Source organism: Homo sapiens, chromosome 19, assembly GCF_000001405.40.
Source record: "Homo sapiens chromosome 19, GRCh38.p14 Primary Assembly".
NCBI classification, from domain to species: Eukaryota; Metazoa; Chordata; class Mammalia; order Primates; family Hominidae; genus Homo; species Homo sapiens.
In genome coordinates, this window is record NC_000019.10 from 52,349,386 (window position 1) to 52,368,919 (window position 19,534).

Genomic DNA, 19,534 nt, shown 5'->3' on the forward strand with positions numbered 1-19,534 from the left:
AATGTGGGAAGAGACTGCACTGGGCGTGGTCCTGGGAAGGGCTCACACCCAGACATGGATGGAGACGGGGTGAGGGTCCCGTGGTGTCAGTGGTGTTGGGCAGCAGGGATTGTTCAGGGGCCACATCTGGATGCACTGTCAGCTCTCTGTGGACCAGGATTAGAGAGGCTGCCAATGGAAGTCACGTATTTTTTTTTTTTTTTTTGAGACAGAGTCTTGCTGTGTCACCCAGGCTGGAGTGCAGTGGCACGATCTCGACTCGCTGCAACCTCCGCCTCCCGGGTTCAAGCAATTCTGCCTCAGCCTCCTGAGTAGCTGAGATTACAGGTGCCTGCCACCACGCCCAGCTAATTTTTTGTATTTTTAGTAGAGACGGGGCTTCACCATGTTGGTCAGGCTGGTCTCGAACCCCTGACCTCGTGATCCACCTGCCTCGGCCTCCCAAAGTGCTGGGATTATAGGCGTGAGCCACCGCGCCTGGCCTGAAGTCACATATTAATGCACACAAGTACCTGGTACATTCTGGAAAAGGAGTTCAGGAAGGAGAAATCTTTTCTGTCTGATTTTTACTACATTTGAAGCTAAACACCTTTCCTACTTTCTAATGTCTGGCTTGGTTCAGAGAGGACATTCTCTCTTCTTTCTCAGCATGCCCCTCCCATGGAGACTGGTGTTCCTGCAGGGAGTCTTGTACAGCATCTGTGTTAGGTGAAAAAAGCTGTAATTTTGCACAGAGATTGGAGCATAAATTTTTTGTCATTAAAGAGGTGGAAATTATATTCATTCTTGTTCCAGCAATTAGTTATTTTTTTATGTTAAACATCAAATTATGTATATATTTGTTTTATAGGAAGACACCACACATGCAGCTTAGGCCATCAAATACGAAGCCTCCCCTGCCCTGCCCTGTGCAGTTTCCCACCCTCCCTGCGTCTCACTGGTGACCCACTGCTGTCAGCTCTGTGTCAAGAGTGAGAGCATGTCCTGTAGAAATATATTTATACAGCATTGGCCGGGCGTGGTGGCTCACGCCTGTAATCCCAGCACTTTGGGAGGCCGAGGCGGACAGATCACCTGAGGTCAGGAGTTTGAGACCATCCTGGCCAACATAGTGAAACCCTGTCTCTACTGAAAATACAAAAATCAGCAAGGCTTGGTGGTGGGCACCTGTAATCCCAGCTACCACAGAGGCTGAGACAGGAGAATTGCTTGAACCTGGGAGGCGGAGGTTGCAGTGAGCCAAGGTCACGCCACTGCACTCCAGCCTGGGCGACAGAGCAAGACTGTGTCTCAAAAACAAAACAAAACAAAAAAAACCTATACAGCATTATAAGGCTGGACGCTGTGGCTCATGCCTGTAATACCAGCGCTTTGGGAGGCCAAGGTGGGTGGATCACCTGAGGTTGGGAGTTTGAGACCAGTCTGACCAACATGGAGAAACTCCATCTCTACTAAAAACAGAAAATGAGTCGGGCATGGTGGCACATGCCTGTAATCCCAGCTCCTTGGGAGACTGAGGCAGGAGAATCGCTTGAACCCGGGAGGTGGAGGCTGCAGTGAGCCAAGATCGCACCATTGCACTTCAGCCTTGGAAACAAGAGCAAAACTCCAAAAGAAATATATTTATACAGCATTATGGTATTTTAAATAAAATCCTCAGTGATTGTTTCGTTGTAATATTTTATACCAAAAGTTGTGAAAATTTGCATGTTTTCATGTTAGGAAGATGGATTCCTTGCTCCTTTACATCCTCATGTGAACGTTCTCTGAATTAGAAATTAGTCACCTTGGCAAGGTGCAGTGGCTCACGCCTGTAATCCCAGCACTTTGGGAGGCTGAGGCAGGCAGATCACCTGGGCTCAGGAGTTCGAGACCAGCCTGACCAACATGGTGAAACTCTGTCTCTACTAAAAATACAAAATTAGCCTGGTGTGGTGGTGCACACCTGTAATCCCAGCTACTTGGGAGGCTTAGGCGGGAGAATCACTTGAACCCGGGAGATGGAGTTTGCAGTGAGCCAAGATTGCGCCATTGCACTCCAGCCTGGGCGACACAGCGAGACTGTCTCAAAGAAAAAAAAAAAAGAAAGAAATCAGTCACCTCTCTTTTTTTTTGTGCCTGGCGTGGTTCAGGGACCATGTGTGCCATTCAGCCCAGGAGGAGTCTCTGGAGGTCCTGAGCTTTGTCTAGGATGCATCCTCTCTGGACTTTGCTTGTCACCTCCTCACTGAAGAGGGTGGCCAGGTTCTGCTCAGGAGCTTCCCTTTCTGCACCTGCTCTGCAGCCTGTGTGAGGCCATAGGAAGCTGGGGTCCGCACCGCCACCTAGTATCTGCCCGTGTAACTGCGGGCTCTGATTTATGCTGATGCCTTTGTTCTCAGTGGCTTCCTGATCTGGGGCCCTGTTACTTCAGTGCTTCTGTTCAACCAAGACAGAACGTTGTCCCTCAGGAGAAATCTGGAGTTTGTGGTTTCCTCTGGATGATGGCGCGTCGTGCCTGAGCAGGGGCTCAGGCTAACGTGTTCATGCATTTTCCCACTGGGCTCCCAGCAGGTTGACTTGGTGCTTCTTTGGGGTGCAGGAACTTGCTAAGGACCTTCTGGATTTCTCACAAAGCCAATTGGTCTGTGTACTGTTTAATTTTTGTCTCCAGGGGGACAGAAAGGTCTGTGGCTTCGCATTCCTGTGTCTTGCTGACATTACTCTTTTAGTAGAGTTGCGAATTTCTTACACAGGTCTGGAGTGTCTTTTAGTTAGGGGCCATGTGTATATTTGCTGAGGGAGAGGTAGGATGTTTCTTGTGTGTGTGTGTCATTTATAATTAGTGCTGCTGAAGAAGGAAACTTGTTTTCTTTTTTTATTTTTTTTGAGATGGAGTGTTTCACTCTTGTTGCCCAGGCTGGAGTGCAATGGCGTGATCTCGGCTCACTGCAACCTCTGTCTCGCAGGTTCAAGCAATTCTGCTGCCTCAGCCTCCTGAGTAGCTGGGATTACAGGCATGTGCCACCACGCCTGGCTAATTTTGTATTTTTAGTAGAGACGGGATTTCTCTGTGTTGATCAGGCTGGTCTCGAACTCCCCACCTCAGGTGATCCGCCCATCTTGGCCTCCCAAAGTGCTGTGATTACATGTGTGAGTCACCGCACCGGGCCAAAACTTGCTTTCAATATATTCGTATTAGTTAATACGCCTAAATGGCATTCTTTGTTATGGTTACAATCCTGTCATTCGTTAGTTCTAACAGATCCTGCTTTTTCCTGCCTCCTACCCCCACTTTTTTTTTCCTGTTTTTTTTCCTCTGCTTCTGGTCCCTGCTCAGGCATCCTGTGCAGTGGTAATTGGCTGCAGCACAGACCAGTGCCCTGTTTCTGGCCTTAAATTAGAGGAAATGCATCCCACGTTTACTGTTGATTATGATGTTTTATGAGATGTTCTTGTTTAATATCATGTTTTTTTTGTTTGTTTGTTTTCCAATTTCATTCTTGGCCTGAGTATTAATTATCTAGTAATTTCTTAAGGTATGTCCTGCTGAGATATTTTCTTTGACCTTTATTTGTTTGTTTATTTTTTGAGACGGAGTCTTGCTCTTGTCGCCCAGGCTGGAGTGCAGTGGTGCGATCTCGGCTCACTGCAACCTCTGCCTCCCAGGTTCAAGCAATTCTCCTGCCTCAGCCTCCCAAGTAGCTGGGATTACAGGCGCCCGCCACCATGCCTGGCTAATTTTTTGTATTTTTAGTAGAGACAGGGTTTCACCATGTTGGCCAGGCTCGTCTCAAACTCCTGACCTCAGGTGATCCATCCACCTCGGCCTCCCGAAGTGCTGGAGTTACAGACGTGAGCCACTGCGCCCAGCCTATTTGTTAAATTAGTGTATAATATTCTTAAATTTTGTATCATGTATCACTGTTTTATTAATGAAATAAATCAATAAACTCCATTGGGCTTTTGCTAATACCTACATATGTAAATTTTAATGGACAAAAGTGTATTTATAGGCCAGGGTTAGTGGTGCATGCCTATAATCCCATCTTCTTGGGAGGCTGGGGCAGGATTAAACTCTTCCCATGAACCCAGGAGTTTGAGATCTTTCTGGGCAACCTAGTAAAACCCCATCTGAATTTTTAAAAATACTACATATTTTTGAATGTGAACATTTACTAGAGATTGGAATTGAAGTTTCTATGTTTTTTAATGATCTGCCATTTTTAATAGCTTAATATTCAAAAATGTTTATCAACTAAATTGAGTACAATTTCTACATTTTTAGTGTTGTAAACAATGTGGTCCTCATTTTAGGGACGCTTGACATTCATGGACGTGGCCATCGAATTCTCTCAGGAGGAGTGGAAATCCCTGGACCCTGGACAGAGGGCTTTATACAGGGACGTGATGTTGGAGAACTACAGGAACCTGGTCTTTCTGGGTGAGGATGACTTCCCTCCAGAAGCCGGGATCTGCTCTAATCTGTCTTTGCATTTTCTCTTGCGTGCCTCTTGGGAGCCCCTAAATTGCTTAACTGAGGTAGAAACCTTGTTGACTCAGAAATGAAAAGCTCTATTATGCTCTCTGGATTTGAAATGCGTCCTTTCTTCAGATGTACCGCCCCCTTCATAATACATCATTGGGTGGCACCGGATAACCAGTTCTCTGTTTTCTCCCCTGTGCTTACAAGTCAGTAGTTCTTGGAAGAGATCTCAGTGTCTACATATTGCATATTCCCTAAGCATTCAGAAGGAGCCAGTCTGTGGGTGAACTTGTGAGATATTATTCTTGATCCATTTGCGATATCCCCTCTCTTACCTAAACACAGGGTTTGGGTTTTGGAAATGCCCCAGCACATCTTGTTTCTTTCTTTTTATTAACAGGAATCTGTCTTCCTGACCTAAGTATTATTTCCATGTTGAAGCAAAGGAGAGAGCCCTTGATTCTGCAAAGTCAAGTTAAAATAGTAAAAAATACAGATGGAAGGGAATGTGTCAGAAGCGTGAACACAGGTAAGAGCTCTGATGGGCAGTGTGGAGGCCATAGTTTTTATTTTTTTATTTTTGAGCCAGGGTGTTCCGCTATCACCCAGGCTGTAGTGCAGTGGCAATCATAGCTCACTGCAGCCTCAAACTCCTGGACTCAAGCAATCCTCCTGCCTTGGCCTCCCAAAGTTGTAGATTATAGCCACTGCACCTTGCAAAGCCATACTATTTTTTTTTTTTTTTTTTTTTTTTGTCTCACTCCGTTGCCCAGGCTGGAGTGCAGTGGTGTGATCTCGGCTCACTGCAACTTCTGCCTCCCAGGTTCAAGTGATTCTCGTGCCTCAGCCTCCCCAGTAGCTGAGATTACAGGCATGTGTCACCACACCCAGCTAATTTTTGTGTTTTTAGTAGAGACGGAATTTCACCATGTTGGACAGGTGGGTCTCAAACTCCTGACCTCAAGTGATCTGCCTGCCTCAGCCTCCCAAAGTCCTGGGATTACAGACGTGAGCCACCACACCCAGCCCATACTAACTATTCAAGAGTGTGTGGGAAACTCTCCAAAGGTGGGAGAGTTCTGTGAGAAAAGAAAAGTTTAAATCCTAGGCATTCTGAATGGAAATATTTCTTTGCTCTCTCTTGTCACTCAGTTCTATAAATGTGTGATAGTTTCATCTTTTCACCCTCGAGTGGTGTTGCCACCCAGAGACAAAAGCAAAGTCTTTATCCTGATGGACAGCACCCTGTCATGTGGCTTCTGTGAACTTTTGTTCCATGATTCTGAAGAACACAGGGAGCATTGTTGCCAGGGGTCTCTTTCCCCTGTGGTCTTTCTTCCTGTACTTGATTCCATCTGATGCTTAGTTTCTGTCCCTGTAGGTCAAAGCTGAGGTCTTCATAGACCTGCCCCCTTGACCTATTCATGGTCCACCCCATTTCCTGTAATGGGAAGATGTAATCAGGAAATGAGAGAACATGAGCTACTCTTTTTTGCATCTGGGCCCTGGAAACTACAGGTGCCTCCAGCCCCCTCTGCCTGTTCAGGTCTATTTGGATGGGAAGAAGCCAGTGATTTTCCTATTCTCACATGCCACTCAGCACAGAGCATTTCACTTCTGGTCACCAAAATGTGTGGGGATTTCTCCCCATCGGCAATTTTTCACTGGATCTTTACTGGGTTTTCTATAATTCATTTCTAACACTGTCTACCTGGAGTTAGAATCAGATCCCACAGGCTAAGGGTTGGGTTCCCAAGCCTGTCGCCCACCTCAGCCACCACTTGTTAGTAGTAGATTGTCACCTTTCTGTCTGACCAACACAGCTGTAAGCTGGGTTCCCTCGACTCCCTTCTTGGGTTGATTACTTTGCTCGGGTGGCTCACAGAACTCAGTGAGACACTTCATTAGGTTCACTGGTTCATGATGCAGGATGTTTCTAAGGATACAGATGGACAGCCAGATGAGGAGATTCACAGGGCGAGGCACGTGGGAAGATTGACTGGGTGTGCCGCCCTCCAGGCGCCTGTGTGTCTTCAGCATTTGGAACCTCTTGTGACCCCATAGTTCACGAGCGGCTTCATCACGTAGGCGTGATTGATATTAACTCAATCTCCAGCCCCTCTCCTAGAAGCTAGTGGGTGGGGCTGACAGTTTCATGCTTCTAAGTATGGCCTGGTCTTTCTGGTAATCAGCCCCATCCAAGGAACCCACAAAGGTTGCCTCATTAGAGCAGATCACACTCGTACCACCCAGGACATCTCAAGGTCTTCAGAGCTCTGTGTCAGGAACCGGGGAAGAGACCAATGTATGTATGTATTCTTATTCCACAAGGCCCCTCAGCCATTCTTCAGTTGTGCTTCATCCACACTTTACTGGTGTGTGTCACAGGGGAGTAGGTGGCTCTTCTGAGATGCTTACTCAGCTGAGTGGGGCAGATAGTCAACAGAAAGACCCTGTATTCGATCCCTAGGTCCCCATGGGGAACATGGCACAAAATAGCAACCAGATGCTTCTGGTTTTAACACTACCATCATTTGTTCAAACCACTGTTACTTTCATCTTGTACCTTTCCATGTATTATAAATTAACTTGGTTTTTGTATATTTAGTCAGCAGTTCCATATTTCATATAATACTCTTTGTGTTTATTATTTTGTATCTGTAGGGCTGTAGTATCAGGGAATGGCCATTGATTTATATATTTTTGAGTGTGGTTTTTTTAAATGCACAGGGTATGCCTCAGCAGGAGAGTCTCTAAAACTGACACTCCAGAAATTTTTGAATAGGAGTTTAAATATTTGTTTTCCTTTGTTGTACGTGACTTAGTAGCTACTATTGAACAACACTTTTGCCAATTAAATGTATTACAGTGTATAATATGGAAATTTTTTATATCTTAAGAATATGCTGTTTTAAAATTGTTGCCATCTTAATCTCAGAAATACCATTACACTGACTTGCCGTAATTTGTTATTTAAGACTGAGGGGCAAAACTCAAACCGTATCTTCCTCTGTCTGGTCTTGCACCACGCAACAATAAACACAGACAACTTATGTCACCAAATGTGAGTTTTACTTCCACCAATAAGCAATCAGTTCTGCAGTGGCTACTTGCTGGGGGCCCTTGAATTCTATTCTGATGCTGTGTACCTGGAGAGCGTGTCACATGCCACAGGTTGAGGGCTCAGTCTCCAATACTGCCCCCTTTCAGACACGGGTCATAAGTCCAGGCCTCTGGAACTTTCGACCAACTGGCTTCAAAAGTTGGGGTTCCCATGGCTCCCTCTTTGGGTTTGATTAATTTGCTAGAGTGGTTCACAGATCTCATGGTAATACATACTTAACATTTACAGGGTTTATTCCACAGCGTATTTTAAAGGCTCCAGGCCCGGCATGGTACCTCATATCTGTAACCCAAGAATTTTTGGAGGCTGAGGTGGGCGCATTACTTGATCCCAGGAGTTTGAGACCAGCAACATAATGAGACGTTATCTCTACAAAAAATTAAAAAATTGGCCGGGCGCAGTGGCTCACGCCTGTAATCCCAGCACTTTGGGAGGCCCAGGCGGGCGGATCACGAGGTCAGGAGATCGAGATCATCCTGGCTAACATGGTGAAACCCCGTCTTTACTAAAAATACAAAAAATTAGCCGGGTGTGGTTGCAGACGCCTGTAGTCCCAGCTACTTGGGAGGCTGAGCCCGGAGAATGGCCTGAACCCGGGAGGCGGAGCTTGCAGTGAGCGGAGATGGTGCCACTGCACTCCAGCCTGGGAGATAGAGCGAGCCTCCATCTCAAAAAAAAAAAAAAAAAAAAAAAAAAATTTAAAAAATTAGCCAGGCATGGTAGTACACACCTTGTAGTCCCAGCTACTCAAGAGGACTGCTCGAGCCCAGGAGTTTAAGGCTGCAGTGAGCTATGATCGCGCCACTGCACTGCAGCCTGGCTGACACAGAGCAAGACCTTATTCCAAATAGATAGAGAAGGATAAATTAACAGATGGAAAGAACATAGGGTCAGGTCTGGAAGGGTCCCCAGCACAGGAGCTTCTGTGTCCTGGAGTTGGCTTGTGCCACCCTCCTGGCATGTGTGTGAGTTCCTGCTCACCTTCCTGTCAGCCTCGGGGTGTTCAGCTGTCCAGAAGCTCTCTGAACCCAGTCCTTTTGGGTTTTTATAGAAGCTTTATTATATAATGAAGTTACATGATATAACTTCATTATTTGTCTTTTTGTCTTTGTATGACTGGCTTATTTCACTTACCAGAGTGTCTTTCAGGTTCATCCATTTTGTAGCATATAAAGAAATTTCCATATTTTTTTAGGAACAAAGAATGCTTCTTTTGCTTTCTTTTTTTGAGACGGAGTCCCACTCTGTCGCCGGGCTGGAGTGCGGTGGCGCGATCTTGGCTCACTGCAACCTCTGCCTCCCGGGTTCAAGCGATTCTCCTGCCTCAGCCTCCTGAGTAGCTACAACTACAGGCATGCGCCACCATGCCCAGCTAATTTTTGTGTTTTTAGTAGAGATGAGGTTTTACCATGTTCACCAGGATGGTCTCGATCTCCTGACCTCGTGATCCACCCACCTCAGCCTCCAAAAGTGCTGGGATTATAGGCGTAAGCCACTGCGCCTGGCCTCCTTTTTCTATTTGTTAATCAGGTTACTGGTTTTCTGATTTGTAGGAGTTTTATGTATTTTAGATATATAAAATCTTATCAGAGGTATGATTTGAAAATATTTTCTCACATATGGTAGGTTTCCTTTTCACTCTGGTAATTGTTTTCTTCCATCCACAGTAGTTGTAGGTCTTGTGGTAGTACATTTTATGTATTTTTACCTTCTTTCTTGTGTTATCAGTGTTCTATCCAGGGAAGCATTATTGAATCCAACGTTATGAAGCTTTCCACCTGATTTTTTCTAGGAGTTTTATGGTTTTAGGTCTTAGTTTTAGGTCATGAATTGGCTTTCAGATAATTTTTGCATACGGTGTAATAAGAGTTCAACTTCATTCCTTTCTTGTGGATATCCAGTTTCCTCAGCACTATTTGATAAAGAGACTGTCCTCTCTCGTTACATGGTCTTGGCAGCCTTATTGAACATCATTTGACCAAATATTTGAGGGTTTGTTTCTGGCCTGTCTGTTCTAGTCCATTGGCTTATATGTCTGCCTTCATGGCAGTACAGTTCTATTTTGATGAAGGTAGCTTAGTAATAAGTTTTGTAATCATGCAGTGTAACACCTCCAGCTTTCTTTCTTTCAAGTTTGTTTTGCTATTGAGGCACATGTGTGATTTCATATTAATTTTAGGATGAGTTTATTTATGAAGAAAACTTCCTTGGGATTTTGCTAAAGAGTTCACTGAATCTGTAGATCTCTTTGGCTATTGACATCTTAACCTTAAGACTTACAATCCATAAACATGGGCTGTTTTTGCATTTGTGTGTGTCTTCTCTACTTTGTTTCAGCAATTTTTTGTAGATTTCTGTGTACAAATTTTTCCCGTCCTTGTTAAGCTTATTCCCTCCATATTTGGAGGTTTTGCATCTACAGATTCCACAAAATTGCAGATCAGAAATCCACAGGTCATTGAATCTGCACATATGGATCCCATGGATACGTAGGGCAGACTGTATTTTCAATCCATGGTTAGTTGAATCTGCAGATATAGAAACCACAGGTATGGAAGGCCTGCAGTAAGGAACTCAGGCATCCACAGATTTTGATATCTGAGAGTGTTTTAAGAAAAACTCTCAAACCATGTTTTTCCTCTGCTCTCACGCCACCACAACAATCTGTCAAGACAGAATAAGACTTCCGTGACCGACGGTATAGGAGTTTTTTCCCACACATCAAGCAACGGACAAGAGCTGGGTTTCCTACAGTTCAGTTCTGACACTATACCTGGAGATAGTGTCAGATCCCACGGGTTGAGGGCTCAGTGTCAAAGGCTTCCCCCATTTCCCACCAGTTACGAGTCTGGGCCTCTAGAACTTCTGACCAACTAGCTTCCATTTGTGGTTTCTGTGGCCCCTCTTTGGGCTCGATAAAGTTTCTGGATTGTCTCACAGAACTCACAGAAACACTTACTTACATTTGCCAGTTTATTATAAAGGCTATTGAAAAGGATACAGATGAAGAGACCTGTAGGGCAAGGTATGGGGGAAGGGGTGTGGAGCTTCTCTGCCCTCCCTGCGACCAGCATCCAGGAAGCTCCATGTGTTCAGCCATCTGGAAGCTCTCTAAATGCAGTCCTCTTAGATTTTTATAGAAACCTTATTATGTCAGCATTCTTTCCCCCAGACATAAAGCAGGACCCTCTCTCGGGAGGTCTTAAGACCTATAATCAGAAAGATGGGAGATTAGAGTTCTGCCTTGAGGCAGGTGAATGGAGGGCAGGAAAAGGTTGGAGAGGTTCTGTTTCCTGAGTTCTGCCCTGGGGCCTACCGTACCCAACACTATAACAGAAGACTGTAGCAAAGGCTATGGGAGTTATGAGCCAGGAACTGCAGATGAAAACAAATATATATGTAATACCATAACACCACACAGGGGTTCCTGGAACCAGTCTTCCCTGGACACCAAGGGACAGCTATATTCTCAATAGAAATAATGCAACATGGGCTTTCTTTTTATTTTTTCCTAATTATGAAGGAAAAGCCTTCATTATTTCAACACTGAGTATGATGTTACCTTTTGGCTTTTTATATAAGGCTTCTGTATGTAAAGTAGATTCCTCGTATTCCTAATGTGTAGAGTGTTTCTATCATCAGTAGTTGTTGATGTTTTTCAAATGTTTTTTCTGCATCTGATGAGCCTATCAAGTGGGTTTTTGTTTTTATTCTGTTTTTGTGGAGTATTGCAGGGATCAATGTTCCTAAGTTGCAACATCGTTGCATTCCAGGAGTGACTTTCACATGATCATAGTGTGTGGTCCATTTTAATATACTGCTGAACTTGCTTGCTAGCATTTTGTTGTGGATATTTGCATTAGATTGATGAGGAATATTGCTCTGTAGTTTTCTTAGAGCCTTTGTGTGCCTTTTCTGTCAAGGTGACACTAGCCTTATTGAATGAGAGAGGGAGTGTTTTGTCCATCACATGGAACATTTTTAAGAGTGTTGGTGTTAAATCCTTTTTCAGTATTTGATAGCGTTTTACAGTGAAGTCATCTGGTTCATTACTTGTTTTTGTTAGTAGTTATTTGATAACTAATTCAATCTCCTTATTTGTTACTCGTCTTAGTGTTTCTACTTCTTCATGAGTAAGTCTTGGTGAGCAGTGTGTATCTAGAAATTCATCCATTGTTGGGACACAGTTGTACAATCTCATTTTCTTTTTTTTTTTTTTCCGAGACAGAGTCTCGCTCTTGTTGCCCAGGCTGGAGTGCACTGGCGCGATCTCGGCTCACTGCAACCTCCGCCTCCCAGGTTCCAGTGATTCTCCTGCCTCAGCCTCCTGAGTAGCTGGGATTACAGGCGTGCACCACCAGGCCTGGCTAATTTTTTGTATTTTTAGTAGAGATGGGGTTTCACCATGGCCAAGCTGGTCTTGAACTCCTGACCTCAGGAGATCCACCCGCCTCGGCCTCCCAAATTGCTGGGATTACAGGCGTGAGCCACTGCGCCCGGCCACAATCTCATTTTCTACAATTCAGTTTTATTTGTAATGTCCTCTATTCCATTTCTAAGTTTACTTATTTGAGGCTTACGCTTCATTTTTGTTTTGTTGTTTATCTAGCTAAGGGTTTGTCAATCTTTTTAAAATTTATTTTAATTTAAAAATTTTTTTTTTCAAAAGAGACAGAGGTCTCATTATGTTGCTCAGGCTGATCTCGAACTCCTGAGCTCAAGTGATCCTCCCGCCTTGCCCTCCCAAAGTGCTAGGATTACAGGCGTGAAACACTATGCCCAACTGTCAATTTTCTTACCATTCGAAGTATGAGCTTGCAGTTTCATGACTTTAGTGCTTCTCTCTTCTGTTTTCTAATCTTAATTTTTTCTTTCTGCTACCTTTCTATTTAGTTTGGTTTTTTTTATACTTCATTGAAGTATAAAGTTAGATTGTTTACATGTAACTTTATTTATTTATTTTAGTGATGAGGTCTCACTCTGTCTCCCACATTGGAGTGCAGTAGTGCAATCATAGCTCAATTCAACCACAAACTCCGAGGCTAAGGTGATTCTCTTATCTCAGCCTCCTGAGTAGCTAGGACTACAGGTGCATGGCACTGTGCCTTGCTAACTAAAAAATAAATAAGCCAGCACTATGGCTCACGCCTGTGGGAATCACACTATGGGATTACGCCTGTAATCCCAGCACTTCGGGAGGCCGAGGCGGGTGGATCACCTGAGGTCAGGAGTTCAAGACCAGTCTGACCAACATGGTAAAACCCCGTCTCTACTAAAAATACGAAAGTTAGCTGGGCATGGTGGCACACGCCTGTAGTCCCAGCCACTGGGGCGGCTGAGGCAGGAGAATCAGTTGAACCTGGGAGGCGGAGGTTGCAGTGAGCCGAGATCGCACCACTGCACTCCAGCCTGGTGACAGAGCGAGACTCCATCTCAAAAATAAATAAATACATAAATTTTGTAGAGATGGTGTCTTGTATTGTTGCCTGTGCTGGTCTGCAACTCCTGGCTTGAAGTACTCCTCATGCCTCAAACTCCCAAGTGCCGGGATTATAGATGTGAGGCATCATGCCTGGCCATTTGTTTATTTTTAATGTAAGCACACATTTTTGTTGCATTTTATAAGTTCTGGTGTGTTCTGTTTTCCTTTCCTTTTCTATCAAGATATTTTAAAAATCAGTTTGTGGTTTCTTTTTTGACCTATTGGTTTTTTAGATGTGTTGTTTCATTTGGACATATCTGTGGGTTTTACATTTCTTTCTGTTAATTTTGTTTTATTACATTATAATGGGAATCAATACTTTGTAGACTTCTAAATGTTTAAAAGATTGTTTTGTGTCATAACATGAAGTCCATCCTGGAAACTGTTCCATGGGCACTTCCGAAAAATTTGTATTCTGCTGTTTTTAGGTGATGTGTTGTGTATACGTCTGTCATATCTAATGAGGCTATAGTGATGTTTGAGTCCTGTTTTCTTCTTCTTCTCTTTGATTTTTATTTATTTATTTTTATTTTTTAGTTTTAAGGAGCAGGGAGTTTAATAGGCAAGAAAGAAGGGGGAAGAAAGAAAGAAGAAGCTCCCCTGTACAGAGACAGAGTGAGGGGGGCTCCAAAGCCGAGAGACAGAACCCCCTTCTCTTTGGTTCTATCCCCTTTTTTTTTTTTTTTTGAGACATAGTCTCACCCTGTTGCCTACCCAGGCTGGAGGGCAATGGTGTGATCTCAGCTCACTGCAACCTCCACCTCCCAGGTTCAAGCGATTCTTATGCCTCAGCCACCTGAGTAGCTAGGATTACTAGAATGCACCACTGCATCCAGCTAATTTTTGTAGTTTTAGTAGAGATGGGGGTTTCGCCATGTTGGCCAGGCTGGTATCAAACTCCTGGCCTCAAGTGATCCTCCTGCCTCAGCCTCCCAAAGTGCTGGGATTACAGGTGTGAGCCACCCTGCCTGGTCACCTTGTTCTATCCATTTTTGAAAATGAAGTATTGAAGTCTACTACTATATCGTGGAGCTATCTGTTTCTCCTTTGAATTTTGTGAATGTTTCCATCCTATACTTAGGGGCTGTGATATTTGGTGCCTATATATTTATAGTTGTTATATCTTCTTGGTGAATTGAACCCTTCATCATTGTATAATAACTTTTCTTTCTTATACTGGTTATTGAGTAAACGTCTGTTCTCTTTGATTTTAATATAGACACCTCTGTGCTCTGCTGGTTACTATTTGCATGGAATATCCTTTTCCATCCTTTCAGTTTCAGCCAATTTATGTCTTTAGAGTTAAAGGGAGTCTGTCGTGGATAGGATTTAGTTGGATCCTGTTTTGTTCTGATTCCAATGGGAAATCATTTGTATTTCACATACTCATAGAGAAGGCCTTAATAGTGCCATCTTGTCACATATTAGCTGTAGATTTTGTAACATCTTGTAGATTTTTTTGTCCTTCATTTTTCCCTTACTGCCTGCTTTTGTATTTTGTTGGTTTTTTAATTGTGACATGCTTTGATCCCCTTCTCATCTCCTCTGGTGTATGTTTGTAGATTTTCCTCTTGTGGTTAAGATTGAAGTTACATAAAACATTGTAACAATAAAACATTATTTTAAAATGTCAACAGCTTAACCTTGATTAGGTACCGAAAGCATTACATTATAGCTGTGCTATTTGTTATTGTGCTAGAAGTTCCTTCTATATATGTAATATTCCCATTAACACATTTTAGTGCTTTTTAAATAATTTTGCCTTTGAAATGCTAGGAAAGAAAAGCCAAATTACAAATGAAAAGTACAATAATGCATGATTTTTTTGTTTTCTTTTTTAATTTTTTTCTCATACAGTGTCACTCTCAGGATACTATGTTTCCATATTTGATCATTTATTGACCTTTAATGGAGAACTTTATATTTTCATTTGGGTTAGAAGTACTGTCTGGGGTCCTTTTATTTCCTTTTGAAGGATTCCCTTTAACATTTCTTGTCAGACAGTTCCAAGGTACTAATTACCTTCCTCAGCTCTTCTTTATTCAGGAACGTGTAAATTTCTCCTTTATTTTTGCAAGCAAGTTTTGCTGAATATAGTATTCTTGGTTTTTTGTTTGTTTGTTTGAGAAGGAGTCTCGCTCTGTCGCCCAGGCTAGAGTGCTGTGGCGCGATCTTGGCTCACTGCAACCTCCATGCCCCGCCTTCCCCCATGTGAGGTTCAAGTGATTCTCCTGCCTCAGCCTTCCAAGTAGCTGGGATTACAGGCATGTGCCAGCACAGCCAGCTAATTTTTGTGTTTTTAGCAGAGATGAGGTTTCACCATGTTGGCCAGGCTGGTCTTGAACTTCTGACCTCAGGTCATCAATCCACCTCAGCCTCCCAAAGTGGTAGGATTACAGGTATGAGCCACTGCACCCAGCCGTATTTTTTTTTCTTTAAGCACTTTCAACATATCATCATCTTACTGCCTTCTAGCCTGCAAGTTTGCTTTAAGATGTTTAATGATAGGCTGGGCACGGTGGCTCACGCCTGTAATCTCAACACTTTGGGAGACCAAGGCAGGCAGATTGCCTGAGGTTGGGAGTTTGAGACCAGTCTGGCCAACGTGGTGAAACCCCGTCTCTACTAAAAATACAAAAAAATTAGACGAACGTGGTGGCGTGCGCCTGTAGTTCCAGCTACTTGGGAGGCTGATGCAGGGGAATTGCTTGCGGAGGTTGCAGTGAGCTGAGGTGGTGCCACTGCACTCCAGCCTGGGGCAACAGAGAGAGACTCCGTCTCAAAAAAAAAAAAAAAAGAATTGTGACAGGTGTGACAGGGAGACCTTTCCCAATTAGCCTGTTGTAAAGGGTGTGGGAACACCTCACTCCTGGGATTGTGTCTCTCCTAGCTTTATGCGTATATTATACTATTACTAATGTCTATACAACTGCTCTTAAATGTCTTATTTTCTCTAAGAGGCTCATCCCTGCTTTTTCTGAGAAGCTTTCAGTTTCTGTTCTATTTTTCTGCCCTTAATCTTTCTCAAAGTCACTCATAATCCTCCCGAGTCCTGCAGATTCCCCACTGCTCCAATGCATCACGTCACCCCCTTGTGTTTTCAGCTCTCACAATGTGACATGCAAAGTATGCCGATACTTCTTCCAGTGTCTGAGTTGGGTGAGGCTGATTCTGGTCCCTCCACCAGACGGTAAACATGCCAGAATCATGGGTTCATGTTCTACTCTTTCTTCTTTTCTAGGGAGGAGCTGTGTATTGGGAAGCAATGCAGAAAACAAGCCTATTAAAAATCAACTTGGATTAACCCTTGAGGCACATCTGTCTGAATTGCAGCTGTTTCAAGCCGGAAGGAAAATTTACAGAAGTAATCAAGTTGAAAAGTTTACAAACCATCGTTCCTCAGTTTCACCACTTCAAAAAATTTCTTCTAGTTTCACAACACACATTTTTAATAAATATAGAAATGATCTTATTGATTTCCCATTACTCCCACAAGAAGAGAAAGCATACATTAGAGGAAAATCTTATGAATATGAATGTAGTGAAGATGGTGAAGTTTTTAGAGTCCGTGCAAGCCTTACTAACCATCAAGTAATCCATACTGCAGAGAAACCTTACAAATGTACTGAATGTGGCAAGGTCTTCAGTCGCAATTCACACCTTGTAGAACATTGGAGAATTCATACTGGACAGAAGCCTTACAAATGTAGTGAATGTGACAAGGTGTTTAATCGCAATTCAAACCTTGCACGACATCAAAGAATTCATACTGGAGAGAAGCCTCACAAATGTAACGAATGTGGCAAAGCTTTTAGAGAGTGTTCGGGACTTACTACCCATCTTGTAATCCATACTGGAGAGAAACCTTACAAATGTAATGAGTGTGGCAAGAACTTCAGGCACAAATTTTCTCTAACCAATCATCAGAGAAGTCACACGGCGGAAAAACCTTACAAATGTAATGAATGTGGCAAGGTCTTTAGTCTGCTTTCATACCTTGCACGGCATCAAATAATTCATAGTACAGAGAAGCCCTACAAATGTAACGAATGTGGAAGAGCATTTCACAAGCGTCCGGGCCTTATGGCCCATCTTCTAATCCATACTGGAGAGAAACCTTACAAATGTAATGAATGTGACAAAGTCTTTGGGCGCAAATTATACCTAACCAACCATCAGAGAATTCATACTGGAGAGAGACCTTACAAGTGTAATGCATGTGGCAAGGTCTTCAATCAAAATCCACACCTTTCACGACATCGGAAAATTCATGCTGGAGAGAATTCACTGCGTACCTTACAGATGGAATGAATGTGGCAAAATCTTTAGTTAGAATTCACACCTAGCACAACATTGGAGGACTCAGGAGAAAAACCTTACAAATATCATAAATGTGGCAAAGAATTTAGTTTGCATTGAAGCCTCATCACTCATCTCTTGATCCACACTGAAAGGAAACCCTACAAATGTAAAGTTAATAACATATATAAATAATCTATAAAGAGAGAACAGTTATATCAGAATAGAGCATTTAATGAAAACTACCAGTATAGCATATTCTTGAGTAGGATTCACATTTAACTGCTGGCACCGTAATTTGTAACTCTTTGATTTAGAATGTACATACTTCTCATGTTTTAAGTAATAAAGTTTAAAGTTTTTTTTTAGTTTTTTCTTTTTTTTTTGAGACGAAGTCTCGCTGTATTACCCAGGCTGGAGTGCAGTGGCATGATCTTGGCTCACTGCAACCTCCGTCTCCCGGATTCAAGCAATTCTCCTGCCTCAGCCTCCTGAGTAGCTGGGATTACAGGCATGTGCCACTACTGCCCGGCTAATTTTTGTATTTTTAGTCGAGACGGGGTTTCCCTCCGTTGGCCAGGCCGGTTTCAAACTCCTGACCTCAAGTGATCCACTGGCCTTGGCCTCCCAAAGTGCTGGGATTATAGGTGTGAGCCACAGCGCCCGGCCTAGTTTAAATTTTTCTTAGTGTGAATGAATTACATCCTTTCTACCAGCGTTGTTTAATCTTACCTCAGGAGGATACTTTATAGTAGAGAATAATAACCCATTATGATTTTAAGGTTGAAGCAGCCAGAAAAGTGTGTGTGTGTGTATGTGTGTGAGACATAAAACAACATACGCTTCTGGGTGCAATATACTTAAGTAAGTATGATGTTGAGTAATTACACTTAGTACTTGAGTTAGTTTCTCTGTACTCTGGTGTAGGATGTTTATGTGGGTAAAGTCAAAATCACTTTAATAGTACAATTTCAGCCTTGTACACCCTCAAATGTGTGTGAGTGTTAAAGAGTATGCCCTGTATTGTGTTTCTACATGCCTCTTTCTTGTGTGCCAAATAAGAACTATGGTGTGCACCTTCATTTTCATGCAGCAAAAATATATAGTAATATGACAAATATTAGGAAATAAAGTATGGGTTGAGGGCAAAAATACTGTAACATGGCCGGGCCTGGTGGCTCACGCCTGTAATCTCAGCACTTTGGGAGGCTGCATTGGGTGGATCACGAGGTCAGGAGATTGAGGCCATCCTGGTCAACATGGTGAAACCTTGTCTCTACTAAAAATACAAAAAAAAAAAATTAGCTGGGCCTGGTGGTGTGCACCTGTAATCCCAGCTACTTGGGAGGCTGAGGCAGGAGAATCGCTTGAACCCAAGAGGCAGAGGTTGCAGTGAGCTGAGATCACCCCACTGCACTCCAGCCTGGTGACAGAGCAAGGCTCCGTCTCAAAAAAAAAAAAATAATAATAATACTGTAACACAATTTCTTTTTGTACTTCTAGTGTTCAGTGACATCATTTGAAAATATTAATGTTCACCCATCTTCTTTTTAAGTCACACACAGAAAGGGAATTTTGTTTTGGTACATTAACTAGAAACTTCATATAGTCACCCTCACAACTCTTTTGGTAATTTGAATTTTTGACCACTCTTCTGGAACTTGTTTGAAGTCCCCCTAAGGTTTGGCTTGGATCTTGAGAATGATGATCCCATACACTGATATGGTTTGAGAGTGTTTATTATATAATGAGGCTCTGTGGGGGAAAGCAGGGTATACTTTTCCAGCTGGTCCAAAAGTGGCTTCAGAGAACTGGGATAGGTGACTGGCTTGGGGTGTCATGATTGCTAAAGGGTAGGGCTGGGGCGGGGATACCCACTACCCATACTGGAAACTTAGTTACAATTCACACCTAGCATGTATATTTTTATATTTTTTGTATGTATATATATTTTTACATTTTTTTCCTACATTGCCTCCAAATTCTATGTTTAATACATTTCTTCCCTGTTTTGCTCTGGTGAAAACTTTAGGGGACAAATAAATGAGTGCTGTTTGGAGACAAAATTTTGTGACATGGGACTGGGCATTGTGGCGTGTGCCTGTAGTCCCAGCTACTTGGGAGGCTGAGATGGGAGGATCACTTGATGCCAGGAGGTCGAGGC

General features: G+C 43.1%; 2 protein-coding genes across 9 annotated transcripts in view; both read left to right on the forward strand.

Annotated features, from left to right (window-relative positions):
* Positions 1 to 18,393, forward strand: part of ZNF610 (zinc finger protein 610) — a 37,558-nt gene extending 19,165 nt beyond the window's left edge. For 7 of the 8 annotated variants that reach the window (XM_047438286.1, XM_047438287.1, NM_001161425.2 and 4 more), the window contains exons 4-6: positions 4,297 to 4,423; positions 4,866 to 4,994; positions 16,313 to 18,393. In XM_047438286.1, the coding sequence (XP_047294242.1) occupies positions 4,297 to 4,423; positions 4,866 to 4,994; positions 16,313 to 17,382 (1,326 nt within the window). In that variant the 3' untranslated portion in view covers positions 17,383 to 18,393. The remainder of the gene's footprint in view (positions 1 to 4,296; positions 4,424 to 4,865; positions 4,995 to 16,312) is intronic. The other variant, NM_001161427.2, reaches the window with a different exon arrangement.
* The window catches only part of ZNF880 (zinc finger protein 880), a 30,809-nt gene continuing 28,747 nt past the window's right edge, over positions 17,473 to 19,534 (forward strand). Inside the window, exon 1 of the transcript XR_007066826.1 lies at positions 17,473 to 17,539. The gene's annotated coding sequence lies outside the window, so the exon portion shown is untranslated. The remainder of the gene's footprint in view (positions 17,540 to 19,534) is intronic.